Genomic DNA, 23018 nt, shown 5'->3' on the forward strand with positions numbered 1-23018 from the left:
TCTTCTGGGCAAAGGATAGAATTGTACATCCTTGGCTCCTTTGAAATGAGGCATTGTCCTGGGATTTCTTTTGGCCTCTGAAATGTGAGTGGAAGTGATGTGTGTCTCTTTTGGGCAGACACCATAAGAGCAATGCATGATTCACCATGCTCCTTCCCTCCACCATGATTGCATCATGATCGTGGGTTGTATATTGAGATGGAACATCTATTAGTCTGAGTCTCTGAATGACTTCAGTGAGCAGAGAACCCACTGACCCATGCAGGAAATGTAGCAGGAGCAGGAATTAAACTTTGGCTGTGTTAAACCACGGAGATTTTGCTTATACAGCCTAGCCCATCCTGACTGATAAAGAGTCCCAGGTTTTTATTAGGTTCTCAGAGGAGTCTATTAGCCAAACAAGAGCAAGAACCACTGGTTCGGGGGTCAGCTGGAGCGGTGTGGAAATGCAAAGAAGGTAAAACTCGTGTGTAGTACATGCTCCATTATGTGCGAGATGCTTTGCTGGGTGCTTCATGTATGTTATCTCATCAAATCTCCAACAACCTTGTGAGGCAGCTAGTATTAGCCCTATTTTGTAGATGAAACAGGCTTAGAGAATTTAAGGCATTGCTACTAGAAGTGTGGTCTGCAGACCAGCAGCATCAGTATCACCTGAGAGCTTATTAGAAATGAAGAATCTTGGACCCTTTCCTAGTCCTATTATATAAAAATCTGCATTTTGACAAGGTCCCAGGTGATTTGTGTGCATGTTAAAGTTTGGGACACATTGATTTGGGGAGTTCATTTGATGATCTCTGTCTAGCTCATAGACAGGGAACCCAGGCAGCGATCTTTCAAGAGATAGGATAGCATCCCCACTCTGCCCTGCCATCCCTTGGGAGGAGAGTGAGAATCAGGATGTGCAGGACTTGAGTTAGGCATTTGATATCCCTCCCAGCTCATGTTCATTGGCTCCCCTGGCAGATACATCCTCAGCCAGTTTGAATGGTTGGTGGTAACCAAAGCTATTTATTGACTTAGAAAACCACTCAGACCATGTGTTTAGGGGGTGTGTTCCTCCCAGCTGTGGATCTGTTGAACAAATAGCAGTCATGGGCTGGAGGTGAAGTCAGACTCGGGTCTACAGTGGAGAAGTCTCACCCTCGCTGTACTTGACATGACTGGGGAGCTGGGGTAATATCTTGATAATGGCAGTCACATGTCTTGGTGCCTCTGAGATGACAGAATTGGGTCCCCTTGGCATTGAACTTGGTGCATCTGATCTTGAAGTGCCCCAGTGGGTGCTAAATCTTCCAGAAGATCTTGTGTGTTGTCTGGATCTGCCAGTGGCCAGAACACAGATCTTAGTACCCTATAGTTCCTGCTTCCTTCTCCAGAGGCTGAGTGATGCTACTCTGTTATCATGTTATAGATGAGGAAATGAGCAGGAAACTGTGCCCAGAGAAAGATTGCAGCCCCCTGCAGACATGGCCAGGGCTGAGCATCTGTGGGAAGAAGATTTCAGTGGCTCATGGCCTCGGGCACCCTTATCAGTTGATGGCATTCATCTCTGCAGAGTCACAATGGAGTTGCTGAGGAAATTGAAGCTCTTAGGCAGAGGAGCACAATTTGGCCTCTCCCTAGTAAAACTACCAGACCGTTCTTAGCTCTTTTCTTTCCACATGTTTAGATTTCCCATGAAAAAGGCACAGCGTCCTCTCCCTCAGTTAAGATCTAGTTATCCATTTGGCTAAGTGAGAAATCTCATATTACAGAATTATTAATTCAACAAATATATATTGCATACCTGCTGAGTGCCAAGCACTGGGGCTAGGAAAAGTAATAAAGTGTTTTTTGCATTTATTTAGGCCCTGGGCTGGTTCAGATATAAGGAATAAAACAACAGTGCCCCGTCTTCAATTGCCCATAGTCCAGGGAGGCAGGATTTCATGTTGCTGCGATGAGGACAATTGAGGTGTACGTAGAGTAATTCCTGGGCATGCACAGAAGTAGATGACAGTGAGGGGCAGTGGCTTAGTGTGCTGGCTGAGGACTCAGACCTGGATTCCTGTTCTGGCTATAGAATTTGCTCCCTGAGAGCCACATCTATTAGATAGAGATAGCAAGAGTATCTGGTGGTGAGATAGAAGGAGAGCACTGCCATTGGTTGAGCTCTTATTATAAGCCCAATGTTGTGTTAAGGTACCCGAGACACAGGATTATTGGAGGCTTGTGCAGCTGGTACTTAGAGGAGGTTAGGGGCGAAGGGACATTACCATTTGAGAGCCTCATTTATTAGCTGGGGAGTGAGTTGCCCAAGGTGCCAGATCCAGCTGGTGGCAGAGTTGTCTCTTGTTCCCAGGCCTTCGGTTTCCTTCTGCGTTGACTGGGCACTTGCCCCACTTTCCCAAGCTGGGCTCGGGTTTTGTTCCGATATGGAAATGTGGCTGCAGAGGGGCTGAGGTTAGCAGAGGCTCACCCAGGATGGCCGCCAGCTCCCTTCCCATGGATCAATGGAGCCCGCACCTCCAGTTGGCAATCTGTAGAAAAACAAATTAAAACAGAGAAGCTCTCATTTCCTTTTCCCCCCTCACCCTGCCCGGACAGATTTATTTTGGAAAGCGACAGGAGGCTAATGGAATCACTTAATTTCCCTGATAATAAATTACCCCCAAGTGCAATAATTAAACGTTTCACAACAAACAGTTTCCTTCTGCAAAACCTTCCTCATAGGTCTCTCCTGATTTGCCAGTCCTCCTTCCTCCCCCTTCCTCCCCCCTGCCCCCTGCTCCGCCCTGAGTTAGCCTGGCCTGTCTAGTGAGTCATCTTTCATTTCTGGGCTTAAGGAAGCTGACGCAGGCAATCGCCTGGGTCCAATAGGAGGACCCTATAGGATTGCGGGACAGAAAAGAATGTGTCATGAGAGAATCAACCAGATCAGGGTTTGAATCTTGGCTCTGCCACTTCCCAGCTGCATGACTTGGGAAAGTCACTTAATTTCCATTTGCTTCAGTTTTCTTCATTTGCAAATGGGGATAATACTGCTCAGCTGGCAGAGTGCTGATAAGGCTTAGAACCAGTACGTGCAAAGTCCCTGGTGCATAATAGGTCTTCAGCAAATAGGAACTGTTAAAAATTAATGTTTCCAGTCTATTTTTGTTTTTTTGACATACACTGCCCTGAATTGTTGGAGTGGGAGAGAGAAAGAGAGAGCCAGAAAGAGTGACAGACAGACAGAAAGAAAGAAATAGAAAGAAAGAAATAGAAAGAAAGAGAAAAAAAAAAGAAGGAAAAGAGGTGAGCTGAGGTGGGCGTCTCAGATCATCGCAGGGCTGAAGAGAGCAAGTGAGGCTTTGTCAAGTGGTGCTCAAACCTCTATGTAATCATGCACACCACAGCCAAGGGACGGCACATTAGCCAATCTTCCTAGCCAGATGTCTGAGGCTTTGCAGCAAGCCGAAAGGAGCCAGCTGGAATTTGGAGACCTGCCTCTCTTCCCTTGCAGCTCAGAAGCTGGGTGCCCGTCTGCATATTAGCAGATTTGGAAGCAACGATGGCATTTTCCCCTATGATGCATGATTAATATACAATTGACTGTGGAATGCACAGCTGTTGGATATTTTCAAGGCAAATGACTCCATAAGACTAAGAACATACATGGGTTTATGTGATACAAGGTCCAGCCTTGGTGTTAGTTATAGACAACAGGTAAGGGTCAACCGTGCCAGCCCTCTGGCCTGGAGGATGGGAACAGGGTATTCGGTCATCTTCTCACTGTTAGCATCCCTGGGAACGATGTTCTGCAAAACATCCTGTTTTCTCATGGTTTCCTCCTGTGTCTTCCATGTGTCATCATGCATGTCTGGCTCCAGCACTGGGCTCAGCTCAATTGGGATCCACAATGGACAAGGCCCTCCAAGGCCAGTCCAGAGGGCTGTGAAGGGTGTTCACATCTGTCCTAAGAAGGGCAGAGGAAGGGGAAAGTGTTCTAGGTTGGGAGCTGCAGAGAAGCAACCACTTTTAATTGGCAAAATGAGAAACGCTTTGCGGACTAGTGAGTGAAAGGAATTCTATGAATTGAGCCTATCAAAAATGTTTTCAGCCTGTTTTTTGGATCTGACGGAAGCTATGACTTTATTTTCTTGCAGGGTCAGTCTACCTCCTTGTGTCTCAGTTCCATCCTTTATAAAGAGAAAAGGATAGTTTCTGCCTTACTTGAAAATTACATGAGGTAATGCCCATAAAGAATACAGCACATGCTTGACCTGCCTGAGTGCTTAAGAGTAGGCAGCTACTCTCATGCTCTTGGGTGGACTAATTCAGTCAGCCTCATGGGTAGCGGGGGTCCTGCCCTGATCCCAGGGTTCCCTTTCAGTCCTCTCTCCCTTGCTTCCATGAGAGAATCTTGACTCCTTTGTGCTAGAATTGCTTTTCGGGCCCTGAGCTACCTGAGGGGCTGGGCAGAGTGGGGACAGGTTGCTATAGCTCCTCCTTCTCCTCCCCGTGTTCTTTCCTGCCTCCTTTAAGGGTGCTAAGACAATGAATCCCTCATCCGCTTGGACCAAGAGCCACCTTGGGATGTGCATCCTGCCTGCTTTCAGCCAGGAAAGCAAGGTGCCTCTTGGGCCTTACTGCAGCTCACTTGAGAATGAATTTCGGTTTGTTTCAAAGGTTAAGTTTTAAGTTAAGGGAATTTATCTGGGAACTTGGTGGGGTGTGTGTGTGTGTGTGTGAGGGGTAATCCAATAACCACAACACACGGAGGAGGAAAGCTGCAGATGCCTCACTTTTTGTTCAGGCAACCTACGAGATTAACTGGGTGGGAAGGCAGTGTTATTTACCCATCGATCTTGTAGAGAATGTGTTTCAGGTGGGTAACCTGACAGGCTTGAGTGGCTGGAGCTGAGCTGGTGAATTTCAATTTCAATTTAGAACTGAAAAGACCTTTACAGCCCGAGAATTTCCTTTACAAAAGCCGGGGGACCAATGCTCAGAGAGTCCAAGAGTCTCTTATAAGCAAGTGACGAGTGTTCAGACAGGGGCCCTTGGTTATCTGTGTCCACCCAGCTTTCTGTTCTTTTGACTGGGGCAGGTTAACTCAGACCTTAACGACAGCCACCTGCAACAGGTGAACTGTCTCCTTGAAAGGAAAAGTATTCTGTAGCTGTGTGTCCCATAATCAACAAATATTTGTCAAGAGAAGGGATTTGCTCCTTTGATTTAAACTATTATTTCCAGAAAGCCCAGTGAAAATGCAAATATGTTTTCTGGGCGAGTCAGCCTGTTAAACTATTAAGCTGATAACCCCAGTTTGTTGACTTAGTTCTGGTTACCTAACGCCATCTTCAGGAGCCCCAGCAGGTCATTTTGGTGGCCGGATATGGAAGCTCAGGACAGGACTACGGAGTGGGGTTTTCAGCGCAGGGCCAGCCAGAGAAGTCCCACGCTCTGGAGAAGAATGGCCTAGTTCCACATTTTGCCAATTCTGTTGGCAAGGTTTCGGACACTCCAGAGGAGGAATTGAAAATCATGTCCCTTCAGAATCTTCCAGGTGCAGGTTTCCAGAAAGGAACTAAAGTTGGCCAGCTTGGGAAGTGTCCCCCATTGCCAGCTTGCCAGCTATTGTATTGAAACAATTAAAGGGAAATTGAGAACTATCCTCATCACTGTGTTGTCACTGAAATGCAATATATATATATTTTTTTTAAGTTCCCATTTTTTATGACCATGTGTACTCAATGTTTAGCTCCCACTTATAAGTAAGAACATATAGTATTTGGTTTTCTGTTTTTCTGTGTTAGTTTTCTTAGGTTAATGGTTTCCAACTGCATCCATGTTGCTGCAAAGGACATGATTTTATTCTTTTTTATGGCTGTGTAGTATGCCATGGTGTATATGTACCACGTTTTCTTTATCCAGTCCACTGTTGATGGGCACCTGGGTTGATTCCATGTCTACTCTTGTGGGTAGTGCAGTGATGAAAATACAGGCGCATGTATTTTTTTGGTAGAATGATTTATTTTCCTTTGGGTTTATATCCAGCAATGGGATTGCTGAGTTGAATCAGGTGGTTCAACTCTCAGTTGTTTGAGAAATCTCAAAACTAGTTGCCACAGTGGCTGAACTAATTTACATTCCCACCAACAGTGTATAGGCATTCCCTTTTCTTTACACCCTTACCAACAACTGTTACTTTCTGACTTTTTAACAAAAGGCATTCTGACTGGTGTGAGATGTTATCACACTGTGGCTTTTGCATTTCTCTGATGATTAGTGATGATGAGAATTTTTCATATGTTTGTTGGTTGCTTGTCTATCTTCTTTTGAAAAGTGTTTGTTCATGTCCTTTGCCCAATTTTTAATGGGGTTATTTGTTTTTTGCTTGTTAATTTAAGTTTCTTATGGATTCTGGATATTAGACTTTTGTTGGATGCATAGTTCGTGAATATTTTCTCCCATTCTGCAGGTTGTCTGTTTACTCCCTTTATAGTTTCTTTTGCTGTGCAGAAGCTCTTTAGTTTAATGAGGTCCCATTTGTCAATTTTTAGTTTTGTTTCATTTGCTTTTAAGGACTTAGCCATAAATTATTTGCCAAGGCCGGTATAGAGAAGGGTATTTTCTAGTTTTTTTCCCCTGGAATTTTTATAATTTGAAGATTTCCATTAAAGTCTTTAATCCATCTCAAATCAATTTTTGTATATGGCGATAGGTATGGGTCCAGTTTCATTCTTCTGTATGTGGCTAGCCAGTTATCCTAGCACCATTTATTGAACAGAGAGTCTTTTCTCCATAGTTTATTTTTGTCAACTCTGTTGAAGATCAGATGATTGTAGGTGTGCAGCTTTATTTCTGGGTTCTCTATTCTGTTCCATTAGTCTATGCGTTTTTGTACCAGTACCATGCTATTTTGGTTATTGTAGCCTTGTAGTATAGTTTGAAGTCAGGTAATATGATACTTACCTTTGTTCTTTTTGCTTAGAATTGCTTTGGCTGTTTGGGTTCTTTTTTGGTTTTATATGAATTTTAGAAGGGATTTTTTTCTAATTCTGTGAAAAACAACATCAGTAGCTTGATAGCAATAATGTTGAATTGTAAATTGCTTTGGGCAGTATGGCCATTTTAGTGATGTTGATTCTTCCAATCCATAAGCATGGGATGTTTTTCCAAATATTTGTGTCATCTCTGATTTCTTTCAGCAGTGTTTTGTAATTCTCCTTTAGAGATCTTTCACCTTCTTGGTTAGCTGTATTCCTCGGTATTTTAGTTTTTTTTGTGGCTAATGTGAATGGGGATTGCATTCTTGATTTTGTTCTCAGCTTGAACATTATTGGTGTATAGAAATGTTACTGATTTTTGTACAATGATTTTGTATTTTGACACTTTAGTGGAGTCATTTCTCAGCTCTAGGCGTCACTTGGTGGAGTCTTCAGAGTTTTTTTAAAGGTGTATAATCATATTATCAGTGAAGAGACATATCTTGACTTCTTTTCCTATTTGGATGCCTTTTATTTCTTTCTCTTGCCTGAGCCCTCTGACTAGGACTTCCAGTACTATATTGAATAGGAGTGATGAGAGTAGGCAGTCTTGCCTTGTTCCACTTCTCAAGGGGAATGGTTTCCACTTTTGCCCATTCAGTATCATGTTGGCTGTGGGTCTGTCATAGATGGCTCTTATTATTTTGAAGTATGTTCCTTTGCTGCCTAGTTTGTTGAGGGTTTGTATCATAAAGCAATATTGGATTTTATTGAAAGCTTTTTCTGCATCTATTGTGATGATCGTATGAATTTTGTTTTAAATTTTGTCTATATGGTGAATCACATTTATTGATTTGTGTATATTGAACCAACCTTTCATCCTAGGGATAAAGGCTACTTGAGTGTGATGAATTATCTTTCCGATGTGCTTCTGACTTCAGTTTACCAGTATATTCTTGAGGATTTTTGCATCTATGTTCATCAGGAATATGGACCTGGAGTATTTTTTCTTGTGTCTCTGCCAGCTTTTGGTATCAGCATAATGCTGACTTTGTAGAATGATTTAGGGAGGAGTCCCTCCTTGATGTTTGGAATAATTTCAGTAGAATTGGTACCAGCTCTTCTTTGTATGCCTGGTAGAATTTGGCTGTGAATCCATCTGGTCTAGATCATTTTTTGGTTGGTAGTTTTTTTGTTTTTTTGTTTTTTTAAAATTACTGATTCAATATTGGAACTTGTAATTGGTCTGTTCAGGTTTTCAATTTCTTCCTGATTCAATCTTGGAAGGTTGTGTGTCTCCAGGAATTCATCCATTTTTTTGAGATTTCCTGATTTGTGTGAACGGAGGTGTTCATAATGGTCTCTGAGGATCTTTTGTATTGCTGTGGTGTTGGTTGTAATGTCATCTTTGTCATTTCTGATTGTGTTTATTTGGATCTTCTTTTTTGTTGTTGTTGTTAATCTAAGTAGTAGTGTATACATTTTGTTTAACCTTTCAAAAAACCAACCTTTGGTTTCATTGATCTTTTGTATGGATTTTTTTGCATCTCAGTTTCATTCAATTCAGCTCTGATTTTGGTTATTTCTTTTCTTCTGCTAGCTTTTTTTTTTTAAATAAAAAATGTTTCTAGTTCTTCTAGGTGCGATGATGGATTGTTCATTTGAGATCTTTCTAACTTCTTAATGTAGCTATTTAGCTCTCTAAACTTTCCTCTTGACACTGCTTTAGATGCATCCTAAGATTTTGATATGTTGTGTCTCTGTTTTCATTTATTTTGAAAATTTTTTGATTCCTGCCTTAATTTCATTTTTTACCCAAAAATTATTCAAGGAGATCTTCTTGGTATTGGTTTCTATTTTTATTGCAATGTGGTCTGAGAATGTGCTTGGTATGATTTTGATTTTTTTGAATTTACTGAGACTTGCTTTATAGCTGAACATGTGGTTGATATTAGAATATGTCCCATGTGCAGATGAGAAAAATGTATATTCTGTGATTGTTGAGTAGAGTATTCTGTAGATGTCTATTAGGTCCAATTGGTCAAGTGTTGAGTTTAGGTCTAGGATTTCTTCATTGGTTTTCTGCCTTATGATCTGTATAACACTGTCAGAGGGGTGTTGAAGCCTCTCACTATTATTGTGTGGCTGTCTAAGTCTTTTCATAGGTCTAGGAGAACTTGCTTTATGAGTCTAGTGCTCTAATGTTTGGTGTGTATATATTTAGGATAGTTATATTCTTGTTGAATATAACCTTTTATCATTATGTAATATTCTTCTTTGTCCTTTTTCACTGTTGTTGGTTTAAAGTCCTTACATTATATAAGAATAGTGACCCCTGCTCTTTTATGTTTTCTATTTGCCTGATTGATCTTCTCCATCCCTTTACTTTGAGCCTGTGTGTATTGTTACATGTGAGATGGGTCTCTTGAAGACAGCAGACAGTTAGGTCTTAATTTTTATCCAACTTGCCACTCCCTGCCTTTTAAGTGGAGGCATTTAGATCATTTACATTCAAGGTTAATATTGATATGTGAGATTTTGATTCTGTCATCATATTGTTAGCTGGCTATTTTGTAAACTTGATTGTGTAGTTGCTATATAGTGTCTGTGGGCTATGGATGCACTATTTTACATTCCTACCAGCAAAGCACAGGGGTTCCAATTTCTTCATTTCCTTGCCAACACTAGTTATTTTCCACTTTTCTTGGTTAATTGCCATCCTAATAGGTTTAATTATATAACTATATATATATAGTTATATAAATGGTTATATCTATCAGGATGGCAATTAATATTTGGTTATATTAATAGGTAATAATAGGTTATACCTGTTAGAATGGCAATTAATATATATATAATACATATATATATTTAAAGTTGCTCTTTTCTTGGTCACAAATATCACAAATGTCTTGGAACAAGAGCAAACACATTGTTTTAATTCTTTAAAATAAAAACTGTCTGACTTCAACAAACAAGTGACACATTATGCAGGTTCAGCAAGCATAGTGACATATAGTCAGGTGAAACCAGCAGATATTTGATAATGTGCATGTGCATAAAATTGGGCACAAATAGTAACTGGTTACCATAAAGGAAGGAACTTTGTCAAATTTTATATAAACAAAATAAATGGATTTTTTTCCTGCTAATTTTTCCCAGTATCATACTCAGCATCTCATGTGAGAGAGATGTTTTGCCCAGATGCTTTCCCTTGGTCCTGTCTCTAGTTCAGACAAGACACCTTTTCTGCCATAGAGTTAATCCTTCAGTTCTGTTCTCTGCTCTTTTTTCATCCTCTTGTTTTGGATGTTTGTGAGATAGATACAAATACAATTCTGGGTCCCAAAGCTAAAGGTCAGAAAAGAAATCTAGCAAAGCCACAGAAGCATGGTCTGTATACACGACAGATATCTATTGACCACCATGCCTGGCCTGGGTGACATATAGCAATTCCCCTCTTATCTGAGGGGCATGTGTTCCAAGACATCCTGCTGATTCTTGAGGCCTCAGGTAGTACCAAATCTTATATATACTATGCTTTTTCTTAAACATACACGCCTATGATGAAGTTTAATTAATACATTAGGCAGAGTAAGAGATTAGCAAATGTAACTAATAAAATATAACACTTATAACAATGCAGTATAATAAAAGTAAGTAAATGCAGTCTTTCTCACAAAATATCTTATGGTACTGTATTCAACCTATATTTAGACTGCAGTTGACTTCAGGTAACTGAATCTGTGGAAAGTGAAAGTAAGGATAAGGGGGTCTACTATAACTTCTCAAGTATTGATCCTGTGGAACCCCTACAACAAGGCGTGGGGAGATACTTTTATTTTACAAATGAGGAAATTGTTACCCAGAGAGGCAAGTGATTTGCCCAAAGTCACCCAGGTGGTTAGTGTCAGAGCCAGGACTTAAACTTGGGTCATCTGACTGAAAGCTTTTCTTCCTTGTAATACTGCCTTTTCCTTCGTAACTGAGGTGGTTGAATCAGAGGCGTGTGAATAATTGACTTCCAACAGCACCACAGGAGAGCGCCTCACACAATAGTAAACATTCATTGTGCTGCAAATATTTACCAGGAGCCCACTCTGTGCCTTCCCTGTGAACACAACCTCCAGTGTTGCCCAAAAGCAGGAGTCAACTTTCAAGTGGCCTGTGTGCTTTTGAAATTTCATTGTGAAGAGATGGATCACGTGAGGAAAGTAATTCCATCTCAGACCTCCAAGAAAGCCTCTTGAGTGCCATTGACCATTTAGGAGAACAATGCAAGAAAATCGTCCGCAGATGGTTTTCTCAGTTAGAAATAGGACCTGCATATTTAAAAATCTTATCTTGGGAAAGATATTATGCTTTTCAATTTCTTTTTCTTGGTTATTTTTTTTTTTAGTTACACAGGCTCTATTGCTGGGATCTTAATGTTCTTGACAATGATGACACTGAGGAAGGAGCTAATATTTACTTAGCCAGATGATTTTTTTTTTAACTAACGTTGAAGTTTATTTATTAACTTATATGTGCACTCAAAAATATTGACTTGGTACTTGATATGTACGAGGTATTCGAGATTTAAAATTAAAATTGACCAGGACATGACCCTGACCCTTGCCCAGCTCACTATTCATGAGTAACAGTGGAGGCAGATACCTAAACCTTTAACTAGCATGGAATGTAAGAAGGGTTATGGTAGACAATTGTACAAAGTACTGTGGCAGCGGGGATGTAGTAACAATGATCTCACCTTACAGAGATCACTGAAAGCTCTACTGAGCAGGGGACACTGGAGTGGGGTATTGGAGGATGAGTAGAAGCTTATAATATGCAGAAATGGAAGATTAATGTGGGAAGTGGCTGGAGGATGATTAGAAGCTTGCAATATGCAGAAATGGAAGATTAATGTGGGAAGTGGCTAGAGACTGAGCTTGATAAGATTCATAGAGGGAAGGCTGAGGCATTTGGACTTTTATCTATTGGCACTGAGTACCTGTTTAAGGAAAGGTTCTGAATGAGTTACTGAGAACACAGGGCTCCTTTCAGCACCTTGTTCCCTGACCACCCTTTCTCAGCAGGCAACGATGCTAGGAAAATTGGTAAACCTGTGTGTCTGAAAATGTGCTTGTGATAAACATTCTATAAACCATAAACTAGCTTTCAAATTACCTACAGGATACTTTTGGATATTTTTTCAAGTTTCTGAGGGATATTCTAAGTTGCAGTAGTTTCAAAACACTTTTCAGCTCTTCACCTCAAGAGCCTCCCTGCTAAACTGATTTTACCTTTATGGGCTGTTCTTAGGGTTTAATGAGCTCATGGCCATGATGTTCCAGGTGCATAGGACTGAAAGAGTGGGATTTCATCGAGCCACCTTGCTGTTTTACAGGTGAGGGAGCTCAGCTATGAAGAAGGTGAATGTCTTGAACAAGAACACACAGCTGGTAAATGGCAAAGCCAGGATTTCAACCTGGTCGGTCTGGCTGCGGAACCGTGTTCTTAACCATGATGCTGTTCTACTCCAACAAAAACTCTTAAGTACAGCCCAGTCACTCACAGTCTGCAGGGAGAGTCTTAACATTTACCAGGGAACACTGAATAATGGAGAGAATATGGATATGGAGTTAGATCTGTGGTTTAAATCTTGACTTCATACATTCTGAGTCATTAGACTTCCGGCACGTCACTGAACTGCAGAGTTAGGACTTACCTTGGGGAGTGATTGCGAAGATGAGAAACCATAGTCAGAGAACATAGAATAGGCCCCTGGTTCATAGCCCCTGAAGGTGATTTATAACAGTAATAATTGTAATAATTATCGTGAGTTTCTTTTGTGAAGTAGGGATCTTTTCCTCACCTCAGACTTCAGAATATTAGGTAGGTGTTTATGTAATAAGGATTTTTGGGAATGTTGATAAACCCTTCTTTTTAACAGGAAATGAGAACCTTGGAAACTCAAGCCAATGCACACCAATCCCATGTACGTGGTTTATGCTCCATGCAAAGCATGGAAGAGCAGGAAGTGGTCTTTCTTCCCTGTAGGAGCCGACATCCTTCTTCTCAATGGCTCTCCATATCCTCACCTCGCCCCCACTGTCTGGGAAATGCTGGAGAGAAATAAAAGAAAATGCCCCGTGAGCACTAGAAAGAGGTCGTAATTCTGGCTAGTGAGAGCTGGGAATACTTCAGGAGAAGGTGGCTGCAGCTGGACCCTAAAGGACAGGAAGGACAAATGGAGATGCCTGGGGACAGGAGACCTTTGGGGTGAGGGGTAAGGGCAGGGAAAGCAGCTGGGAGCACTTTGCTTCTTAGCTGAAGATTGAGCTCCCAGGGATGAGGGAGGCAAGCGGCCTGGAAGAGTTCTGGAAGGTAACGAAGATAGAGGAAAGGGGCTGTGAAGAGGCGGCATGGCAGCGAGTCATGGGACTGGCTGTGGTTCTGGAGATGAGCGACCAGGTCACCAGCGTGGAGCCGGCTCAGGGGTTTTCAGGATAAGCGTACAGAGGTGCTTTGCTGAGGCCGACAGAACCTGCCCCTAATGCATCCAGGGGACACTAACCGCTTTAGTCTATTCTCTGATGAATAATTTCTCCAACTCTAACTACATTAGGGACACACAGGGCCGGGGCTCGGTGCTCTGTCTGTCAGATATCGTTGCCACTTAAGTGAGTGATGCAGTGTGGGCCGGCCACGGTGCCCGGGCCTGCGGACAAGGCAGGCAGCCAGGAGAGCTGGCCCCAGAGGTCTTATTTCTTTGGTAGTGTAATCAGATTGGAGGCAGAATGTTTTTCTGTCTCCTCCCTATAATCTCTGTTTTGGTACCGTTTCCTCTCCTCTACGATTCTGATCCCTGTTTTCCCTGCCTGTTGGTATGGCACACTGTTCTGCCTCTTCTCCTTCCAGGCCCACTGCCCATGCAGGACTGAGACAGAGGGAAGACGCCAGAGTGGCCCATCCTCTATTCTGTACTCCCAGTTGGTGGAAGAGGAAAGGGAAATCGTGCTTATTAAAAATCTCAAAGGTGCAGCTCCAGGTTGTTCAGGCATCTCATGACAGCAACAGGAGTCAAAAGACCCCACCCTGCAGGCTGGAATTCAGGGCAAAAATGATGGCATTCTGCAGGGATAAATTAAAGGCTGGCACTTAGGTTCAAAAAGCCAACTATACAAGGCCAAGAAAAAAAGCCTCTGAATTGTATTTTTTATGAAAGACTTAACATGGACTAATTGTGTGGTAAAGCTACCCAAAACACTGAAGTTTACAATACAAAATGCTGTTGTTAGGAAAGAAACTCATATCCATTGCAAAATAACTTGAAAATTTACAAATATGAGAGAGAGCAGTCGAGAGAGAGCTGCGTGTATGGAGATTACTTAATCCCATCTCTGACAATTATCTGTTAATCCACTTGATTATAACCTTCTATTTCTTTTCCCTAGGCAGGTATTCAAGGTATATCTATAACATAATTGTATTTTTGAAAAGATATATTTGCAACTTGGCTTTTTTTTTTTTTGAACAGTCTTGCTCTGTTGCCCAGGCTGGAGTGCAGTGGCGCGATCACGGTTCACTGCAGCCTCGACCTCCTGGGCTCAAGTGATCCTCCTACCTCAGCCTCCTGAATAGCTAGGACTGCAGGTGTACACCACCATGCCTGTCCAAGTTTTAAATTTTTTGTAGAGTTGGGGGGGGTCTCTCTATTTTGCCCAGGTTGGCCTCAAACTCCTGGACTCAAGGAATCCCCTCAGCCTCCCAAAGTGCTGAGATTATAGGTATGAGCCACCATACCTGGCCACAACTTGACTTTTTTATATAACTAAATATTGTAAATAACTTTCAAAGTCATTACTTTTCCATAATGCCATTTTTATGTGTTGTAAAATATTCTATTTTATAAATTTACCATAATTTATTTATAAAATTGTATTTTGTACATTGATTTTTCCTCGATTTTTCTGTAATATAATGAATCCTGGGCTGAATCACCTTGGAAATAAATGTTTGTGTACACCCTTGAGTATTTCTGTAATATAAAGCCCTAGGAGTAAAAGGTATAGAATTTAAAGGGTTATGAACATTTTGAAGGTTTTGATTTACTGGTTTGCTTATTTGTTTTTGATGTGTCTGGTCAAATTGTTCCACACCACCAAGTGTGAGAGTATCTCTGTCTCTCCATATTTTCCCCGGTATTGGGCACTATGATGTTGAAATATCTTGCCAGATTTATATGTGAAATGTGGTATCATGCTTTAATTTGTATGTTTTGAATTATTAGTGAGGTTAAACATTTTTTATTTCATATTCAACATTTTAAATCTTATGAATTACCTAGTTGTATCTTTTGCCTAGCTGATGATATTTTCCTTTTCTTAGTAGCTTTAAAAGTTTTAAATGTTAAGACTACTCTAGCCCTTTGTCTGCCATCTAGGTTGCAAATATTTCTTTTCACTTCTTGCCTTTGATTTAGTGTATGTGTATTTCAGGTTTTACATTGGCAAACTCATCAAAATGTTACTTAATTTTTCTGTGGTGTCATATAAAAACATCTCTCCTGACCTAAGATTATATGTTCACCTATATGCCCCCTGCCCATACATTTTAGGTTTTGTTTTTACATTTAAATCATCACAGTTCTATTACAATGCAGCATAATATCCAAATAAAAGGAGGTAAGTTTTGGGGATAAAGATTTTGACTCAATACAGAATGAAATTTCTAATGATTAAGAGCTATATAGAAAGTAAGAGACTGACAGCCGAGGAAGCAGCTAATCCCATTGCTTGACCTTCTATCAAGTTTTAAGAATTGCATGTCATTCTGTAAGTGCTCAATTAACATTTGCTGAGTGAATGTTGGAACAAGTGACCTCCACAGGATCTTTCAACACTGATTCCCTGATCTTGGTTCATTCCATCTCCACAGATCATTCCAGACTTGGAAATTGTGGTTCCTAGGGGTGAAGCAGGCAGGCAGGGGGATGGGAGGTGGCATGGAGAGAGTCTACTTCTCAATTCTCAGCTTCCAAGTGTAGCGTAAAGGCTTGCTGGGCTCGGCCGTTTGCTGGACACTGGGATGGGAGGGAAATAGATAAGTCAACCGATCCCTAGCCAAAGGGAATTACAAGCAGGTTGGGGATGTGAAGCAGGCATCCCTGAGAATTGAAAGAATAACATAAAGGCAGAGGGCTGTAGCAATGGGCGTGTGTGTGGGGTGCCGGGTGGGGGCGGTGTGGAGTACTGCTGCTATGAGTTCTGAAAAATAGGCACTATGCATTTTATGAGTCCCAGAGGTTTGCTCCAAGTGGTTCTCTCCTGAAACACTCTGAAATTCTCCATTATGGAAAATTGAAGAAATCACACCAAGAGTTAAGAGTCTTTTCTCTACTTTTTCAAATGACTCAGTGACTTAGCGGAGAAGAAAATGTGCATACTCATTGGATTCATAAATGAAGATGTGAATACACATGTGTCTATACACATACATACACATACAAACCCGTGTAAGTACATGTACATATATGCCTGTCTGCTGTTTCTATTTTTTCTGGATAGAGATCACTGTACTTTCCAGATTATACCAGCCTGGGCTAAAAGTAGGGTCTTGATGATAGAGGAAAAATAAGGATTTCTCTGGGTCTACCTCATGCATTCTATGGAAATGCCAGCTCTCCTTAAAGGACTGGTGAGCACATCTGTTCTCCTGTTGGTAACCCAAGGCATCTGCTATCTCTGGTGCTCCAGCTCTGGCTTTCTCAACTCGGGGGATGCAGACAGCAGCAGCTCTGCCTCCATTTCTGTGGCTGTTCCTGCCGTCTGCTGTCTGTGCCCAGTTGGCCAGCACCCATCAGGCGGAGGATGATGTCTGCATCAAGGTGCTGCCTGCTGTAGCAAATGAGTCTGCAATTGTTTACCCTCCATTGACAGGATACACGTGGGTCTTTGAGGGTTGGGCTGGAATATGGTTTCATGGGCAGCTGCATGTGAAGCTTCTACCCGTTCCTGACACTGGCTTGTCGTGTTTGGACAGGACTTGGACAACTCCACTTCTCTTTTTTTCTAGTCTACTTATTTCTTCATGCAAGGCCTTCTCATCCAGATGTGGCTGAAAAGTCTAGGATAGACATAGTTTATGGGATGTCCTTAACTGCTGGGGACTAACATGGTAGATTTGAGCATGGGCTCTGGAGCCAGCTGCTTCAGTTTGTATCGGCTGAGTGATCCTGGCCGGCCACGTGGCTTCACTTCCGAGCCTTGGTGCTCATACGTAATGTGGAAATGATAACAGTGTCTACCTCACATCATTGCTATGGAGATTCTCTGAGTTAATTTACATGAAATGATTAGATGAGTGCCAGGCGGAGAGTTGACCTGTAGGTCAAAAAAATGTTAGCAATGATTATGGTGACTTCAGACTTATTCTCCTGTTTATTTAGATTTTGTTTGGTTGGTAAGTTCTAATCTGCATACACTCTTCATGGACTCCAAAGAGTTGAAAGGATAAAGAATAAAAGAGAGTATTATATAAATATTATAATAATTGCAGGTTTGAATTCCTATATTAGTCTTTAGGGGCCTCCAAGTGCCAAGCCCTGGAAGACCAATGGCCTACCTGGACCAGTTTTCCTTCCTTCTTTCCTGTGTCCTTCCTCAAATACTTTTTTGAGCAAGAGAGACCTGGCTTATATTCTTAATGAGCTCCAGTTATTATAGATAAAATAATGAATTGGGAGAGAGGGAGAGAAATGAATGATTCATTGAGGGGAGAGTGGTGTAGGGCATGAAATATTGGATAAAACACAAGTTTTGGAGTCTGACAGACCTGACCTCATCATTCCTAGTGTGAGCTTAAGTTGATTCACCATTTTGAACTCAAGATCTATAAAATAGTCTTACTAATTACCTATCTTATGGTGTGGGGATGAGGCTTAAAGGAGAATATTCATATGGTAGCTACTCAAAAAGTGTTAATTTCTAACCTCTCTCCTGCCCTTTCCCCAACACAATAAAACCAGTGTCATAAATTGCCTTCCCCTGATACAGACCTTGGAAGAATTCGTAAGTCATTAAAAGATCATTTTTAAAGAGTTTACCAGGAATATCCATCCCTATAATGTTTCCTCTTATCAGATTTGTTTTTGTTTTTGTCTTTTATAGACTAGGGCTTGTCTACAGTGGGTACACATGAAATCTGCCAATGATAGTGGAATCCATAGATGGCAGCGCCATTGCTGACTGACTTCCACTTCTGACTGCTGGTGTGAAGTGATGCGAGCGATTTGTGCATTTTGTCACTTTCCATCTGTTCCCTCTCCCCTCTCCTCCCCGTCCCACATCGGTATTTTTGGAAGAATGGTTAAGTACATCAATCTTTAAAAAAAGTAATTATTAAATCTTTCTTGTCATCAAGATGTAGTGGGGTTGTGTGTCATGCATGACCCTTGGCAGCATCTAAGTCTGGATTTTAGAAACAAGATACGTTTTTCCCTTGGCCTTTTAATTTTACTTTTTCCTTTTGAAAATGTTCAGCTTCTGCAGCAATCTAATAGTTACTTTTCAGATATTTCCGTGACTTAACCAGTAATGAAATGATTTTCCCCCATTTTCCCATCTGAATAGCTCTGCTGAGGTCCACCAAACCACACAGGGCTGAGTGGTCACTGCAAGGAGTTTCGCTGCTTACAAAATATAGTTTTTCAGGTTGGTTAACTTCTCTTCCCTGGAGCCTAAAATGTGAGGCTTTAGAAATATGCTCATTTGAGCCTGCTGGCTGGTTGGGCTTTTGGATGAATGAATTGGGGCTCAAGGTGGCTGCTACTGAGGAGTAACAACTGTCATGTATTGAATACCTGATTACCCTGTGGGGGCAACTGGAAAAGTGCTTCCACACATTATTTCATTTAAGCTCCCTAAACAACAGCTAGTATTAATCGAGGGCTCACTGTGGGCTAGGTTACGCTAAGTGATTTCATGGCATTTTTATTTGATATTCATATTATCTTATGAGGTGCAGTTACTTGTTTAGGATGTAAGTGACAGTACTCAACTCAATTCCTTTGATGCCCACACTCATTTTATTGGTTGATGCAATGAAAAACAAGTCCTTGGGTTAGATCTTAATGACTTTAGATTTGGCTGGATCCAGGTGCTCAGATGATAAGATCAGGACTCCCTTTCTTTCTTTCTCTTCATACTACTTAGCCTTCCTTTATATTGTCTTTGTTCTCAGTAGGAACTCCCTATGAGGTGACCAAGATGGTCATCAGTAGCTCCAGCTTCCATTCTACCAGCTTAGAAACCCAAGTAGAAAGAAAGTGCTTTTTGCCCAGTGGCTCCAGCGTTTGCTCTCAGTGGATACATTGGGTCTCGTGTTCATACCTGGACCCAGAAGGAGGACAAGGCTGCTTGGCCAGAGCCAGGTCATGTGTGTTCCCCAGGTGCTTCAGGGGAGGAGCAAGGTCCACTCCATCCACAGCACATGGACTGAGAGTGGGAGGAGATGATGCTCCCAAGGAAAATTGAGGCCACTTAACCCAAAGACGACAAATGTTAGGCATCTAGCATTGTCCTGTTATAGGGTCCATTTCATAGAGGCTGAGGGTCAGAGGATTTATGTAATTTGCTCCAAGATCTCACCACTGGAAAATGCCAGAGCTGGGATTTGAACCCTCATCTGCTGTATCCTAAAGCACATCTCCTTTTCATTATTTGGCTTATTTTTTGGACTTTCCAAAGATATTACAATCCCTGCCTCAGAAGCACCTACTGTGTCTTTCTGCTGGCTTGGGTTCCTATAAGTCAACTGTGAGCAACTGGAGCCAATGATCAAACAAAAAATTAGCCAGTAACACAGGCAGGGTATTAGAAAAGAGCTCTGAAGGATGTACTACTAATCCAGTTCCTGTACATGGGGAGTGGAGCTCGAAGAACAATGTCATGGCAGATAGGCACACAGCCAGTGTTTCTCAGGAGGCAGGGAAGTCACCAATGGCTACTTCCTCCTGAACACTACTTCCTGGGGCCTGGGACCCTTTCCCCTTTGGTACAGGAAGCCCCAGAAGCCACAACCTGAGAGTTTTGAGGTGATGCCTCCTGCTGCTGTTCAGGAAGGGATGTGATGATGTGGCTTCTGCTGCTTCCCCTACTGAGGGAGGGGCATGAACTTGCCACCCTGATATGTCAGTAGAAAGCCTTCTGCTGGGCAGTGTTCTCAGGGTGCATAGTAAAGATGGGCATGTGGGTTTAGTCTGTTCTGGCACTAGCAGCTCCCCTGCAGTTACATCAAGGCAATTGCTCCAGACACTGAGAATGAAAGCCTTTCATGTGCTCCCTGGCTACTTGCCCACAACCCTGGAGTCTTGTATCTGCAAGTGCTGGATGGAAACCTCTGGTTGCACCTGGGATGATTTCAGATGGGACATACATGGGTATAGCATTAAATAACAGGGATCACGTGGTGGGAAACATATTCTCTTCTCAATTCTCCATCACTCCTTCTGATAAGAATCTCCCTGAGACTTTGTCCTTGATGTACACAACTCCCAGCACCAGACCAACTTTCATTTTCTTTCTGACACTAGCAGGATGAGCCAGCTCCAAATGCTTGGAGCCTGTGAGAGGCAGGAGCATCCAACTGGAATTCCATGGCATTGAATTGGATTTTATTGTATTTCTCTTTATGGCTTCCTTCTATTATGGAAGGTGGTGCTAGTTTTCTCCTTATAGAAAGGAGGTAAATTTTGTGTGTAAAATACATTTATTTTAGTAAAATTAGGTGAGTGGATTGAAGGCAAACTTTCTAATGATACATATCTGTCAGAGTTCTACCAGAAAAAACAGAGGCATAGGAGATATATAGGAAGAGATCTATTGTGAGGAATTGGCTCGTTTGGTTGGGGGGTGGTCTGGCTAGGCAACTCCAAAATCCACATTGCAGGCTTTCTGGAAGGGCAGTCTGGAACTCTGAAGCATGGGCTGACTCTTGAGTCTGCAGGTGGAATTTCTTCTTCATCAAGGAAGCCTCAGTTTGGCTCTTAAGGCTTTTAAGGCTGATTGAATCAGACTCACCCAGATTACCTAGGATAATCTCTTACTTAAACTCAACTCATTATGGGCCTTAATCGCATCTACAAAATACCTTCACAGCAACACCTAGGTTGGTATTTGTTGGAATAACTGGGAACTGTAGATAGCTAAGCCGACCTGTAAACCATCTCATTATATAACAGCAAGTGATACAGAGTCTGGTCCAGGCTGTGAAGGAGATCAGTAAATGATGAGCAGTTGGCAAACCTAAGCCTAGCAGGTAGGGGGAATGGCTAAGATGTTAGAGTCCGGGTGAAGGAGCCGGGAGTTTGACGTCTGCCTGGGAGTGAGGCTTTTTATGTTGGGTAAAGAAGGCAGTAGGGGGTGGGACGTGAAGTGGCAGGGAGCAGAACACAGCATCCTGCCTTTTCTGCCTCCTCTTCTTAGGTACCTTTTCCAAGGGGCCAGCTTTTGCTTGCTTCTACTGCCCTGATTTTATCACTGGTATCTGTTCTACTTAATAGGGATAAGTTTATTCTTAGTCTCTGAAAAAGGTGGATGCCAATCATTTAACCACACAGTGACTGCAGTGCTCACAACCCCACCCTATCTCCCATGGCACCCCTTTTACTGAAGACTTAGATGTCAGAATTATTGATAGACTTCATTTTTGCAACTCTGCAGTCACCTCATCCAATGATAATGGTCACCGAATTGGAAATGGAATTACATAATTATTAATCATCAAATGGTTTTTTTCTCCAGATTGAAGAAACAACTAGGACGGTCCAGAGGGAACTTTTTCTGTGAAGGCAATTAGAAAGAGATATAGAAATTGTGCTAAGATGAGAAGATTGACCTTATGCAAGTCTCCTGGGGACAGGAGGAGGAGGGGAGAGGAGTCGATTTTACTTTTTAAAGACTAGGATTTTCTGTTTCCTATGGAGACCTTAATTAATTTTCTGGACGGTGAGCTGTGTCTTTGTGAAACACAGAGAGCTGATCAGATTTCCGGGGCCTGACCTTGGAGTCATGGTGGTAAGCCAACATTGCTGCTGACATCTGAGATTGACGTGCTGACAGGTGAAGTGTGGCCTGGAAATCTCTTTTCCATGACTGCCAACTGTACCGTTGTTTGTCAGGGTAATTGCTTTGTGCCAGGCCTCTTCCCGAGCTTTGGAAGCAGGAGTTCCTGCTGGTAGACCAGTTGAAGGGTTGGATCACTTCCTAGTGCTAGTGAGGGGGGATGGGGGATGGGTAGGTTTGGGTGCCTCTTTATTATCACTGGTATCTGGGAGGCAAATACTTTGCTGAGGGTCTCTAGGGGTAAATTGTCATAAGTCCATTGATATGAGAAAAGTACATTTTAACTCTGTTTTTGCGGTCTGAAATTTTCAAGTTTGCAGATAACATCAAGCCAGATAAATAGGTCTCATTTCAAGGGCCAGCCTTAACAGAGTGGTAGGGGTTGCCTGGAGGGCAGAGAGGATTCCAAGCCTTCCCTGAGTGGAAAGGGGAAAGGATGATGCAGCTCTTACTAAAGTCCGTCACGGTTAGCGTGCGTGTGGGTAAGAAAGTGGCAGAGGAATGAAAAGCCAAGCTGATAGTGATGAAACTATAGAATGTAAAGGTGAATACGACGACCAGTGGAGAATTTCTCTGCTCTGTTTCCTCAGTTAGATTGCAAACTACCTGAGGGCAGAGTTTGGGACTTGTCCATTCATAAGACAGTGACTTTGTCATGTCTGCTCCCCTCAGAGCTCTGATCCTGCCAAGGATATTCAGCTGTGGTGATGAATAATGCTGATTTTTCTGAAAGACGGGGAGGTAGGCTCGTGGCTCACCTTGGAGCAGCCCTCCACCTGAGTCTCCTTTGGATTATTTGGGATTTGCATTTGGCTGCATGGGATGCTAGCTTGACTTCGTGGCTTAACCCCAGGTGGATTTATTTTTTCTCACATAACGAGAATTCTGGAGGTGGAATTGCCACGGGCAGCAGCTCTGCCATGGTGTCAGTTTTCCAGGTGTGACCTATCTTTGC

The 23018-nt window shown here is 42.2% G+C and overlaps 1 annotated feature.

Moving 5' to 3' along the window:
- Nucleotides 10725–11410: an enhancer, noted in NCBI's record as "OCT4-NANOG hESC enhancer chr10:112896634-112897319 (GRCh37/hg19 assembly coordinates)". NCBI's record gives its function as "activates a minimal SCP1, AML or CMV promoter by ChIP-STARR-seq in naive H9 embryonic stem cells {active_cell/tissue: H9 hESC(naive)}" and the evidence as "EXISTENCE:reporter gene assay evidence [ECO:0000049][PMID:30033119]".

This window comes from Homo sapiens, chromosome 10 (genome assembly GCF_000001405.40).
Source record: "Homo sapiens chromosome 10, GRCh38.p14 Primary Assembly".
Classification (NCBI taxonomy): Eukaryota; Metazoa; Chordata; class Mammalia; order Primates; family Hominidae; genus Homo; species Homo sapiens.